Raw genomic sequence first — 13,383 nt, 5'->3', positions numbered from 1 at the left:
GGCAGTTGAAAAGGCAGCCTGATTCTTTTATCCACTCAATTTTATTGAGCACCTACTCCATGCTCCATGCTTGCCAGGCACTGGTGATACAGTGACAAGCAAGACAGACATGGTCCCTGCTCCTAAAGAGTTTAGGGTGCCATGGAAGGGTACAGCCATTTTGCAACCCTATCTTGGTGGGTCAGGGAAGGCTTCCTCTAAGAAGTGACCTAGAACATGAATAGGGTCTCGATTCATGTCTTCAGGAACCTGCTGTGTCAAGCATTTTAAGGAGCAGGTTTACCTCATAATGGGCCTCATCCCTGATCTGCTAGCCCCTGTTTTCACAAAGCTCCCCAGAGTGGTGCTTATATTGGTTTAAGCTGGTCTGTGGGCAGGTGCAGAAGCCCAAATGGACAAACCTCCAGAAGATGGACCTGGTTGTAGTAGTACTGCTGAGATGTCACCGGTAGCTGTCAACACTCAGTGGTAGAGGTTCTGTTGATTTTTATTTCTTTGTTGAATTGATGGTTCTGTTTTCATTCAAGACTTCAAATACATTTAGAGATATTTATTGTCATTGATGGTACGATGAGTTTTTTACTTGAGTCTTCAGAATGGATAATTAAAGTATAAACGAAACACCATTTGGATGTGCTAAGAACACTAACTGGGCAGTATTCTGTAACGATGCCATTGTGTTGAGAAAAGAAGTACCATCCCAGGTGCCCACTGGTCAGCAATAGTAGAGGCTAACTATTCTCAGACACCAGGATGGAGCCCATCTAGCTAGGCCTTGGGGTGCTATGGCCAGGCAGCTGGGTTCAAATCCCAGCTCTGCTATTGACCAACAGCATGACCTGTGGTAAATTATCTAACTGCTGTGAGTTCCAAATTCCTCACTCTAGAATAAGGGTAGTAATATGATGACATCTTCACAGAGATTTTGTGAGGATTAATTGAGTTCATGGACGTAAAGTGCTTATTACAGAGTGCTCTATAAATGATAGCTAATAGTGACGGTGATGGTTGTTCCAGGATATGGAATGTGAACAGAAAAAAAACCTTTTTTTCCTTTGTGTTTTTTCTTTCTTTGTGTTCCTGTGCCTGGGGCTCGGGCGTCAGGTCCAGGCCAGTTCTACAGCAGTGGAGTGGGGTAGTGTATCTGGTGGTCCTTTCTTGACTCCCCACCACAGGTCTGAGACCTCACTGAACCAGCACAGCCACAGGCAGGAGTGTTTTATGCTTACATATTTAAGGGGCCAGGGTTGGTGGGGAGAATGATCCTCCGTTTTCCTTCACCAGGATAGAAACAGTTCTCATATTCTAGGGAGTTGCCTGGATGTGTGATGACACTTAAAGAGAGTCTTTGCAACTGAAAGAAGGAATGCATCTGGTCCAGTCCCCTGCATCTTCAAAGGTTGATGCCAATGCCCTTTTAGACAAATGGACATCCATCGTACTCCTAACATATGCAGTGACAGATGCCATTACCTTTCTCTTTGGTCTGGCTCAGGGACAAATCACCCCAGCTCTCAGGAATTCTTTATATCTGAAGAAAAAAAAAAAAAACTCATCCTTCCATTGAAGCTCATTTCTTCATTTCAGATCTCAGCATCTGTTTTGGTTGTCTGTTGCTGCCTGACGATCTCAACACTTAGTGGCTTCAAACAACAACCATTTTATTTGCTCATGACTTGGAGGGTCATGCAGGGTTTAGCTGGGTGATTCTTCCATTCCATGTGGCATCAGCTGAGGTCACTCATTCAGCTGAACACACCTCATTCTGTGCTGGGATAGAATGTCGGAGAAAGCTTTTATTATATGTCTGGCACCTCAGTGCTCCTACCTTGGGCTTCCTCACAGCATGATGGTCTCATGGTAGTTGGACTTCTTATGTGATTACCAAGAAGGAGCACTCTAAGAGGGGCAAAAAAGAAGCTTCAGATCTCTTAAGGCCCAGCTCCAGAAGTTACACAATGTCACTCCACTACATTTTGTTGATCAAAGCCAGTCACAGGGTCAGCCTAGATCCAAGGGATGGGAAGTAAATGCCACCTCTTGATAGGAGGAGTGCAGAGAATCTGTGGCCATCCTTCATCCACCAGCACATCCTCTTTATAAGCTTTCACATTCCTCCTAACACTAGCTTCATCCTCTCCTAAAGCTTCCTCCCCTTGGCCTTCATCCCATGTCTCATTCTTTTCCCCAACCTTCCACTATTTGAGCTACTGACCCTTTGTTGCTTAAATCTTCGGCTCTTTTGCTCTTCTCTTTTCTTTGGCTCTCCTCCCTGCTACTTCAAAGAGCACAGCTGTGTGCAGTCCCACCCCTAACATTTGTAAGGCTGTATATGTTATGTCTAGATAGCTAACTGTTCGAAAGCAAGCTGATAAGCTTTGAAAGGAAATATGTTGTCCTTCCACTCTGACGAATATTCATTTGTAGGGAGTTTAAAAGCCAGGTTCAAATAGAGAATTCTGAGTTCTGCACCAAAATATGGGGTCTAGGGAAAGCCAGTCTCCAGTCCACCCCTGCTCTGTCCAGCACCACAAGGACACTCATGAGCACTTGGGTAGATGGGTACCCCAGCCCACACATCTGAGCTCCAAACACACCTTCTGCAAACAGTCACCTTAGCCAGTTCTAGGAATACACACAGCACAGTGTACTCTCATGAAGCAGTCAAAAAAGAGGGCCACCAGGTCCAGGAATCAGGCTGAGGAGCATTTGACCAGGGAATCTGGGGTTTTGAATATGTGGCCTTACAGGGAGAATGTCCCTTTGGTTCCCTGGACTCCTTACCTGTGAGGAGGAGCATACCTGATGGAGGATTGGAGCAGGGCCCTTCAAAGTGTGAGATCAGGATGAGGGACATTTTCCTGGGTGTAAAGACAGTGCTGAGTGTGTCTGCCCTTGTATTGGGCATTGCCTTTCACTGATGGGCTTGGACAAACCCTGCACTGCTCCATCCCTCCCATGAGGCATTTCCACTGTGAAATGAGAAAAGCAATTTTTTTCATGGTAGTTATAAGAATTCAGTGAGACAATGGATGGGAATGGGGATTTGTAAACCATAAAGTCTTATTCACAGCTCATTTTTTTATGGTTTCTTATTGTCGGATTCAGAAGCCCTGGATGTGAATGAATTTGGACTCCGCCCTTTTTGAGCTTGGATCTTGCATGAATCACTTTACATCTCTAAACTTTGGAATTTCACACACACACATATGAAAATGATGTGTGGGACAGGTGGGGATGTTTATTAGGACCTTGGTGCTGTTTCTTTTTGTTTTGTTTTTGTTTTTTGGTTTTTTTTTTTTTTTGATGGAGTCTTGCTCTGTCACTCAGGCTGGAGTGCAGTGGCACGATCTTGGCTCACTGCAGCCTCCACCTCCCGGGTTTAAGCAATTCTCCTGCCTCAGCCTCCCGAGTAGCTGGGATTACAGGCATACGCCACCAAACCCGGCTAATTTTTTTTTTATTTTTAGTAGAGACGGGGTTTCACCGTGTTAGCCGGGGTGGTCTCGATCTCCTGACCTCATGATCCGCCCGCCTCGGCCTCCCAAAGTGCTGGGATTACAGGCGTGAGCCACCGCGCCCGGCCGGTGCTGTTTCTTTTTAATTCCAAGTGGTTAAAACCTGAAGGATGGGCTGGGTGCAGTGGCTCAGCCTATAATCCCAGCATTTTGGGAGGCTGAGACGGGTGGGTCACATGAGGTCAGGAGTTCAAGACCAGCCTGGCCAACATGGTAAAACCCTGTCTCTACTGAAAATACAAAAACTAGCCAGGCATGATGGCTTGTGCCTGTAATCCCAGCTACTCAGGAGGCTAAGGCACAAGAATCACTTGAACCCGGGAAGCAGAGGTTACAGTGAGCAGAGATCATGCCACTGCACTCCAGCTTGGGTGACGGAGTGAGAATCTGTCTCAAAAAAAAAAAAAAAAAAAAGTGAAGGATGTAAGGGACCAAGAAGAGTTATCAGCAAAGAGGGAACTAGGCTGTCTGAACCAGACATAAGCCAGATGTCAGCTGGGGTAATGTTGCCTTTTAAAATACAGATGAGAAGCCTGCCCAGAATTTCCCATTGCACACCATTTTCCTAAACAAGACAAGGCTTTGCATACAGCATCCTTCTTCTGAGGACCAGTCACTAGCCTACCCCATCTCAGCCCTATTTGGGCTGTGCCTGACGTGACTATTAGATATTGAAAAAGATCATCTTTTTTTTTTTTTTTTTTTTATTTAGAGTCTCACTCTGTCGCCCAGGCTGGAGTGCAGTGGCACGATCTCGGCTCACTGCAACCTCCACCTCCCGGGTTCAAGCAATTCTCCTGCCTCAGCCTTCCAAGTAACTGGGATTACAGGCACATGCTACCATGCCTGGCTAGTTTTTGTATTTTTAGTAGAGACAGGGTTTCACCATGTTGGCCAGGCTGGTCTCGAACTCCTGACCTTGTGATCTGCCCGCCTCGGCCTCCCAAAGTGCTGGGATTACGGGAGTGAGCCACCGCGTCAGGCCCAAAAAAGATCATCTTTTTTCCCATATCCCTGTTGAACATCACCTAGCTTGAGGCAAACCCCTTATCAATCACAAGCAAGACCATTTGGAATTGTGCATCAGTCCTCTACCCAGCCCAGTGCCACCCTCTGCCAGTCTTGAGTTAGCCTCCCAGTGGGTCCTGGTATCCAGAAGCAGGGCAACCCGCATCCTCTTAGGCCTGTCTCTCCTCATTGGGAATACAGCCTGCTATGAAAATCCATATTACCTGAGGAAGGGATAAAACCGCTTGCATTAGTTATATTTTGCTACATAACAAATTACCCCCAAAACTTTGTAATTTAAAACAACATTCCTTATCCCCCACAGTTTCTAAGTCAGGAAACCAGGAATGACTTAGCCGCATGGCCTAAGTCAGTCTGGCCTGATCTCTCACAACATCTCAAGTTGTTGACCAGGGCTGCAATAATCCCCAAACTCGACTGTGGCTGAAGAATCCACTTCTAAGCTCACTCACAGGTGATTGGCAGGCTCCAGTTCCTTGCAGCCTCTGGGCCAGAGGTCTCAGTACCTCGCCACACAAGCCACTCCACGAGCTGCCTCAGTGGCCACACTGCAGGGCAGCTGGTTCCCCACAGAGTGAGTGATCCAAGAGAGAGCACACGAGGGAGCAAGAGTGTGTCCAAGATGGAAGTCACAGTCTCTTAGGACCTAATCCTAGAGTGACATGCCTTCACTTCTGCTGTGTGCTGTTGGTCATGAAGACTAACCCTGGTACCACGTAGGAGGGACTGCACAAGGATGTGAAGACCAGGAGGCAGGGTTCACTGAGGGCCACCTTGGAGGCTGTCTGCCATATTGCTTAAAAGTTGAATCCTTGTAATCCAAAGAGGCATAGTCTCAGGATATGCCTACGTACAAAACGATGCACGAGGTAAAAGTGCACCTACAATGAGAGAAAAGTACATCAAAAGGAAAACAACGCCTTTCTCAGTGAGGCAAGAGTATGGATGACTTGGTTTTGCTTTATGCTTTTATTGTAGGGGGAGGTCTTCGTATTTTCTAAAATCATTAAGAAAAAATGATTGGCCACTCCAAAATACTAATTAATCCTTGCCAAGCAAGAGTGATAGCTGGTGAGAGAGTGGGCCCTCTGAGTTGAGTCACCACCCTTTGGGTTGATTGGTTCAACTTGGCAGGTGGAAACATGGGGCTGACCCAACCCTAGGGATCTTAATGGGGCTGGTTATTCTTGAAGACAGCCACCAAGGCATGGAATTCCCCTCTCCCTGTAGAAAGCCAAGAACATGACTCAGAGGTCATGTTGGTGAACCAGCTCGGAGGAAAGGAGATTCAGGGGTCTCCTTGACAGTCGGCTGTGCTGCAGCTCAGTCCATGAGTCTTTCTCCGTTCGGAGTTGTTGATTCCCAGACAGCCAGGGTTTCTCTCTCTCCAGCTCTCCCAGTTCCAGGATGCAAACAGGGTGAAGGGCCCTCAATTTCCGTTCGTTGTTTCCCCCATTGGACCTTGGCTCAACTTCCAACTCGGTGGTTTTGTTTTGGGTTTACTTGGAGAGGAAAAGGTGGTTTTCAAGAATTTCTAGAGCATCTTCCATCATACTCCTCAGTGCATGGTCCTGTTATCTCCAGTGGGCCATACTGGCTCTCTCTTTAGTTTTATTCACTTATTTACTTCCTTTTATGTCCCACTGCTGTGCCCCCTCTCTCAACAGGTAATGTGTTTAATGTGTGTTTTTTGTTGCCATGCGCCCTTGCAGAATGGGTGATGTTTTTTGTGTCTATATTTTTAATTGTGCATATTGTACTGTGTTAAATCTTGTTCTTTTTACTCAACACTGTGTTTCTGAGTTCCCCCACGGTGCCATGGTACTCTGATCCTTTGCTCCTAAGGGCTGCACAGCACTCCCCAAGATGTCCCTGAACACTTGGCCCACCAGCTCCCCAGCCATGGGCTTGCAGATGTCTCTACTCCCCTACCCCCACCACACATAGCACAGGAGAGAACACTGGCTTACATGCTCCCTTGGGGACTGTGTGAGGATTTCCTTGACATTAACATCCTAGGGCAGAACCACCAGTTTCCAGACTTTTCTGCTTCCCATACTGGTTCCAACAGAGGATCTGGAAGAAGCCAGAGCAGAGAAAACTAGGAGAAGGTGTGGGTAGAGTCTGGGGAGGTAAGCAGGGGCCAGAGCATGGTGGTCCTTTGTTGTTAGCCATGGCAAGGGCAAAGATTTTGGTTTTTATCCTAAGAACAAAGGGAAGCCATTGAATTAAACTAAAGCAGAGGTTCAGATTTATTTTTAAGTAACAGTGGATCTTTAGAGATAGAAGGACCCTAAAAGACCCCTAGTCCCACTCTTTGAATTTACGGGACACTTGGAAGGCCCCCTGAGGTAGTGAGATGGATGCCGAAGATCACACAGCCAGAGAGTCCAGGCCCCCTGACACCTTGAGAACATGGTGTGAGCCTCCCAGGCTGCAAAGACCATCTGATGGTTGGCAGCCTCTGGAGGCTTGGGATTTGCCCTGCTGTCCTGGGGGGACCTTGGGCTGAAGAGTTCACTTCCTGTCACCTGGATTTTCCTAGACCTCTGAGGGCATTTAACAGGATGTTTCAAAGAACCCCAAGCCAGAACCCAGCCTTCCACTGCCATGGGGCCTCAAGCCTTAGACTTTCCAGATATCCACAGGCAATCCCTGTTGAACTTCATATGCTAGCTTAATGAGAGAGCTGAACTAGAGGCTTAAAGATGAGCATGGCAGTCCTGGTTTTGCCTCTTATTCTCTGGATCTCATCAGTTTTCTCATCTTTGAAATGAGAGGATGGAGCAAGATGCTCTCTCAAGTCTGTCCCTTCCTCCCCAAGCATTTGTGCTTAAGTCTCAGGCACTGGGGACCTCTGGTACCTCCCTGCCGCAGGGCCTCTGCTGTCAGCTCTTTTAGTTCTCAGCATGGGCAGCTGCTGGGGGAAGCAACACCCTCAGAGTTTCATTGACCCTTTTCACCCTCGTACTTCTGGGCCTCCACGCCAAAGAGGCACAAAGAACTGAGCCTTTGTTTGCAGCAACAAAGCTGTTTGCAATTTCAGATAGAACCATTTTATTATATCCCATCCAAAGAGTACTTGAGTTGTGTTTTGTTTTGAAAGCTTGTTAGCATTCTGAACTTAATTATCTGGCAGAGACAAAACTCCTCCACCCCCAGTCCATGCCCACTCCATCCACCGACCCCAGTTGCCAGCCAGCAGCCTCAAAGCCCCTGCCCATGTCCAGGTGGGGCACCCATTGTCCTCCTGGGGGGCTCATCTGGCAGATGAAAGGGAAATCCTTACTGCTGCCTCTCCCTCACTCTCCCCTTTCCCCATCATCTCTAGATTCTGGCTCCCATTTATTGAGTACTCACCATGTGCCAGGCAGCAGGCTAAGCATTTTGCATGTTTTAATTCACAGCATCCTCTAAGTCCTATGAGGCAAGTTTATTTGCTCTTTTAAGACGGAGTTTCGCGCTTGTCACCCAGGCTGGAGTGCAGTGGCGCGCTCTCTGGCTCACTACAAACTCTGCCTCCCAGGTTCAAGCAATTCTCTTGCCTCAGCCTCCTGAGTAGCTGGGACTACAGACGCACACCACCACACCTGACTAATTTTTGTGTTTTTAGTAGAGACGGGGTTTTACCATATTGGCCAGGCTGGTCTCGAACTCCTGTCCTCATGTGATCCACCTGCCTCGGCCTCCCAAAGTCCTGGGATTACAGGTGAGCCACCATGCCCAGTGACTACATGGACTCTTATAACCTAGCCTTACAGTCGTATAACATCACTTCTGCCACCTTCACTCCATCAGGGCAATCAGCCAGAGAGGGCACATAGATGCCACCTATTGATGGGAGAAATGGTGAAGAATTACAGACGTATTTTAAGACCACCACAGGAGTTAAGTTACAGAGAAGTTAAACAACTGGCCTAAGTCATGTAGCTGATAAGTGGTGAGCACCCATGTTTTAGTCCAGAATCTTCTTATGTCAAAATTTGATTCCTTTTCCCACGCCCATCCTGCCTGCCTGGAGAGTGTGGAGATTAACAAGACTTGGGCCCTGCCTTCAGCCAGCTTACCATCCGAGATGGACTTGCTGCTGGCCCAAACCCTTATCATCTTCCTACCTCCTCCTTGCGTGGATCTCTTGGTCGTGTTGCTCACTGATGAGCAGGACTAACAGGGTGGAGGGGTTGCAGAGAGCCAGTACAAATTCCCAGAACTCCAAATCCACCACCTGTTTGCTTTTGCCTTTGCTGGGAGAAGCTGGAAATTTTTTCCTCCAGGGCTTCTCTCACTAGGAGTCCTATCGGTCAGTGTTGAGGTTGAAACATAGAACATCTTTAAGGCAGGAGATAATCTTAGTGAAGAGCCAGGCATAGAGCAAGTGCTTGGTTAGTGTTTGCCGTGTTTCAGGGACTCTGCTCTTCAGCACCATATATCCTCTAACACCTACTTTGCCTGCTATACACCCACAAAAGGTAGCAGAAAATAGGGAGCCACCTCCAGCCTCTCCCAGTGAGAACAGAGATCACAGCAGTGCCCAGCAAGGCCAGGCTGTTCCTCTCAGAGCCCACGGGAGTGCTGAGGGTGTGATATTGCAGTGGCAGAAGTAGCTGATTGGGTGTATTCCTTCTAGACTCTTCCACCACTCCGCCCTTCTCAGTTCCTCTAGCAGTACCTCCTTTGATTCTGGACCTACCCAAGCAAAACCTCAAAATAGGCCAGGTAGGCAAACCTGCTCCACCAATCCCCCTTGTGGGTTTCCAGACCTTTCTGTGGAGTAAGAGAAAAATCATAGACTGTGGAGACCCACCAACCTGGGTTCAAGTCCAGTTTTGTCACTGCCTGGCTATGTGATCCCAGGCCAGTCACTTAACCTCTCTGTGCCTCAGTGGCTCCCCATGTAAGACATGGGCAATCATGTCAACCTGCAGCACAGTTGTGACTATTGAACAGCATAAGACTGACAATGTACCTGGCTCCAAGCTGGCAGGATAGGAGGATAAGGGAGGGCAAATCCTCCCTGTGGATTCATCTCTTCACAGGAGAGAGCTGTTGGGAAATTGCCCAAGATCACCCATACCGCTCCTATATCGCCCTCCATCCCCACAATGAGATAGGAGCAACAATCCTATGAACAAGAAGTCAGTGTCTACTGGTGGCATTTTGGACACAGTTGACAGGCCATGGAGCCCAGCATCATCACCCAGATGGTTGAGGGGTGGGAGTGCTGGAGACTTGTTACCAATGACGTGGTGTGGCGGGCAGAATGCCTGGTCCTAGGAGTAGGGAGTTAGTCTCATCTCGTGTGTGGCTAATAGCATGGGCTCTGGAAGCAGTCTGCCTGGGTTCTAGTCTTAGCTTCTACCCATTTATTAGCAGACCTCAGCCAAGACTTAACGTCTCTGTGCCTCAGTTTCCTCATGTGTAAAATGGAGGTAAGAGCAGCGCCTACCTTCTGGGATTGTTGTGAGGATTAAATGTGTTACTACATGTAAAGCACTTGGAACCGCACCCAGCACACGGTAAGTCTTCAACGTTCAGGCTCTGCCCTTGGCTGGCTGTGGACCTGGGGCAAGCCACTTCCGCTCTCTGGGCCTGTTTCTCCATCTGAGAAATTAATGGGCTGAACCAGATATCCCTCAGGGCCCATCAGGCTCTGACAGCCGGTAATTCATGAAGTCCAGGCAGGTCTGAGTGTCATGTTCTTTTGGGTAGGGCTCCCTGTGACCGCTGGCCACATTGGGAAGGGAAGAAAAGCTAACTGGGACAGAGCTTGCTTTCTCATGTAAACAGGAACAGACTGAGCCAGCCTTCCACTCCAGTTCCGGTGGGCTGGCAGCCTGGGAGCTCAAAGAATGAGTCACTGACAGGAGCAGCCACAGTTCTGGAGCTCAGGCGGCACCAGCTCCAGGGCACAGAGTAGCTGCAGAGTTCAATGGTGGGATTTGGGAGCCGGGTGACAGGAGAGGGATCATAGCGTTTCCCTGTGCCCCAGGTGAAATCTGAAGGCCATTTGCCTGCATGCCTTACCCAGGATCCTACAGCTTTGGCCTGGGATACTGAGCTTTGCCTTCCAGGGCTTGCTTCCTTCCCTCCATACTACATGTATACTTTGAGGCTTCATCAGCTGGGGACCAGGCACAAAATCTGCACCGTGGCCCCCATGCAGCTGATTAAGGTTCAAGGTTCTGCCCCCCACCCTCCCCCGACCCCAGACATAGGACCTCCCTGCCTTGCTGCAGTGACCCTTTACTGAGAAGCGGCATGGCAAAATGGAAACATCACTTGATGCTGGAAAGCCCTGGGTTTGAATCTCAGGTCTGCACTTACTTGGCCAAGACACTTAACCTCTCTAAGCCTTGATTTTTCTTGCCTGGAAAATCCCATCATCCTGTGCAAGAGGTGAGTCCATGAGGAGCCCAATGTTAAATCACTTGTCAGCAAGCTGCCTCTGAGTCAGGGTTTCATGCGTGGCAAAGCAGCTACCTCGCTGTGAACTATTGAAAAGCCAGCCCTTGACACAAGCAGCCGCCTCTCACTGACAAAACAGGGCTGACGATGATCGTGTCTACCTCATAGGGCTGTCAAAAGAAGCAAATGCAATTGCGTATGCAGAGGCACTTTGGGAACTGCAGAGAGCCAGCCCAGTGAGGTGGTATTATTCCCAGAACAAGATAGTGAGTAAAGGAGAGGGCAGGGAAAGGATAAGAGCTGACGTCATTTCTAGGAGCAGGACAGAGCCCAAAAGAACAAACGGGCCTAGGACCACAGTGGTCCGTGCAAGTGGAGGCTGTTTCCTTCACTGCTGTGTCCCCAGAGCCTAGCCCGTGCTTGACAAAGTAGGCCCCCAGTAAATACTTTTCTGAATTGCATGACATTGAATCTTTGTGTTCCCAGTGCTTGACGTATAATCGGCGCTTAATAAATGTGTGTTGGACTCAGGCACAAATCAGCAGAGACTAAAACCAGAGTGGCAGGCTCCTAGCCCAGTTCTCCATCTTTGAAACTAACACCAATTTCCATCACAGACATCCACTGCCCACCCCCGAGATCAGGGGTTCTTAACCTGAGGTCCATGCATCTCCCCAAAAATTATGTGCAGAATATAGAGTGTGTTTGAAACATATCTTGCTGGATTAAAAAAAAGTCAGATTTCTACCCAGAAAAATATCTAAATAAATCCTGCTCTGAAAGATGTACATCTACCAGTTGCCCAGTAAATACCCATCAGTTGGATGCATCTGGTCCCCAGGGCTGCCAGGTGACCAGTAGTCTTAAAAAAATTGTAAGCCTCCCCCTCTCTGAGCTACACATCTAGGGCCCTATGAGCCTACAGTTTTTCCTACCACCTCCATAATGTGCAAGACAGTTAACCTATCTTTCATATGCAAAAGTAATGATCACACATTATCCGAGGGACCTGCCTCTGGAGTGGCTGTTCTGCTGCTGGGTGGGTCTCACAGAGCCTCGCATACTCTGTCAATCTCTTACATCCTAGTGTATGCATTTAGATGTGACAGGTGGGAGTCGAGGCCTGAAACCTGAGAATCCTGACTAGGCTTCTTGATATCAACTCTGAACTTTGATCTTTTTGAAAAAAATATTTTTCTCACTAGAAATACATGTGTGCATGTGTCTGTGTATGTATACACACACATATATATTTATCTATTAGAGGAAATTGAGGATATGTAAATGAAATCACCTCTAATCTCACCCCACCCCAAAGAACTGGTGTTACTACCTGGCTTTAGTCTTCCCATTTACTGTGTACAACATTTATTAAGCACTTACTGTGTGCCAAGAGTTCACTGCTCCATGCTCTATGATCTCTATCTCATGTTAACCTCTAATCTCACATCAGGTATTTGCTATCTTTTTATAGACATATTTGTACTTTCTTAATTTTTAAGGTCAGTGAGATTATACTGTTTTGTAACCTTGCCTTTCTTAGTCCATACCATCAAAATTTTTTCCCATGTTATCAAATATTCATCAGCAGAGTCATTTATAATGGCTGCATAATGTTTTATTGCAGGCAAATTTCATGCTTCTCAGACTGGGGTGCATGTATCCCTGAGGGCAAAGCCATAGGATAAATGTCACACATCTTCCTGAAGCAAAATTTGTGATTCAGAGCTTTAGGAGAGGGAAATAAAACACATTATTTTCATATCAAAACGAGTACAAATATATCGTAGTGTAGAATGCAGAACACCCATATATCTTAATACAGGCCAGGCGCGGTGGCTCACGCCTGTAATTCCAGCACTTTGGGAGGCCAAGGCAGGCAGATCACCTGAGGTCAGGAGTTCAAGACCAGCCTGGCCAACATGGTGAAACCCCATCTCTACTAAAAATACAAAAATTAGCCAGGCGCAGTGGCTTGTGCCTGTAGTCCCAGCAACACAGGGGGTTGATGCAGGAGAATTGCTTGAACCCAGGAGGTGGAAGTTGCAGTTAGCCGAGATCACGCCACTGCACTCCAGCCTGGGTGACAGAGCAAGACTCTGTCTCAAAAAAAAAAAAAAAATGCAGCCAAGTCCAAGATCATGTTATTCCCCATAGTCCCATGTTCCCTCTCCTCTGAGGTTTGCAGAAACATCTAAGAAGCGCTGAATTCTAGTTCAAGCCCTTCTTTTTACAGATAAGGAAACTGAGACCCAGGGAGAAGAAGGGATTGCCCAAGGTCCAAGTATGTGCTCTGCAGAACCAAGGCACAGAAGCCAGGTAACCCCTGGGTCTGTCCCTTCCCACCGTTCCATATTTGGCATCACCTGTCAACTGTGTGTGGGCAGAGACCTTGCCCCTTGAGAAATCAACCCCCTGCTTATCAATAGTA

At 47.7% G+C, this 13,383-nt stretch overlaps 1 protein-coding gene across 12 annotated transcripts in view, besides 1 other annotated feature; it reads left to right on the top strand.

Annotated features, from left to right (window-relative positions):
• Nucleotides 1-13,383, top strand: part of PTPN5 (protein tyrosine phosphatase non-receptor type 5) — a 64,794-nt gene that overhangs the window by 32,495 nt on the left and 18,916 nt on the right. The window contains exon 1 of one of the 12 annotated variants that reach the window (XM_017018438.3): nt 13,130-13,271. The exons of the other annotated variants lie outside the window; for them this stretch is intronic. The gene's annotated coding sequence lies outside the window, so the exon portion shown is untranslated. Of the gene's footprint in view, nt 1-13,129; nt 13,272-13,383 lie in introns of those variants that run through there. 12 annotated transcript variants of the gene reach the window in all.
• Nucleotides 10,236-11,118: an enhancer, noted in NCBI's record as "H3K27ac-H3K4me1 hESC enhancer chr11:18770656-18771538 (GRCh37/hg19 assembly coordinates)". NCBI's record gives its function as "activates a minimal SCP1, AML or CMV promoter by ChIP-STARR-seq in naive H9 embryonic stem cells {active_cell/tissue: H9 hESC(naive)}" and the evidence as "EXISTENCE:reporter gene assay evidence [ECO:0000049][PMID:30033119]".

The sequence above is a fragment of the Homo sapiens genome, chromosome 11 (genome assembly GCF_000001405.40).
Source record: "Homo sapiens chromosome 11, GRCh38.p14 Primary Assembly".
In the NCBI taxonomy this organism is placed as follows: domain Eukaryota; kingdom Metazoa; phylum Chordata; class Mammalia; order Primates; family Hominidae; genus Homo; species Homo sapiens.
The sequence above is the reverse complement of the archived record's forward strand: the minus strand, read 5'-3'. Positions and strand labels throughout refer to the sequence as shown.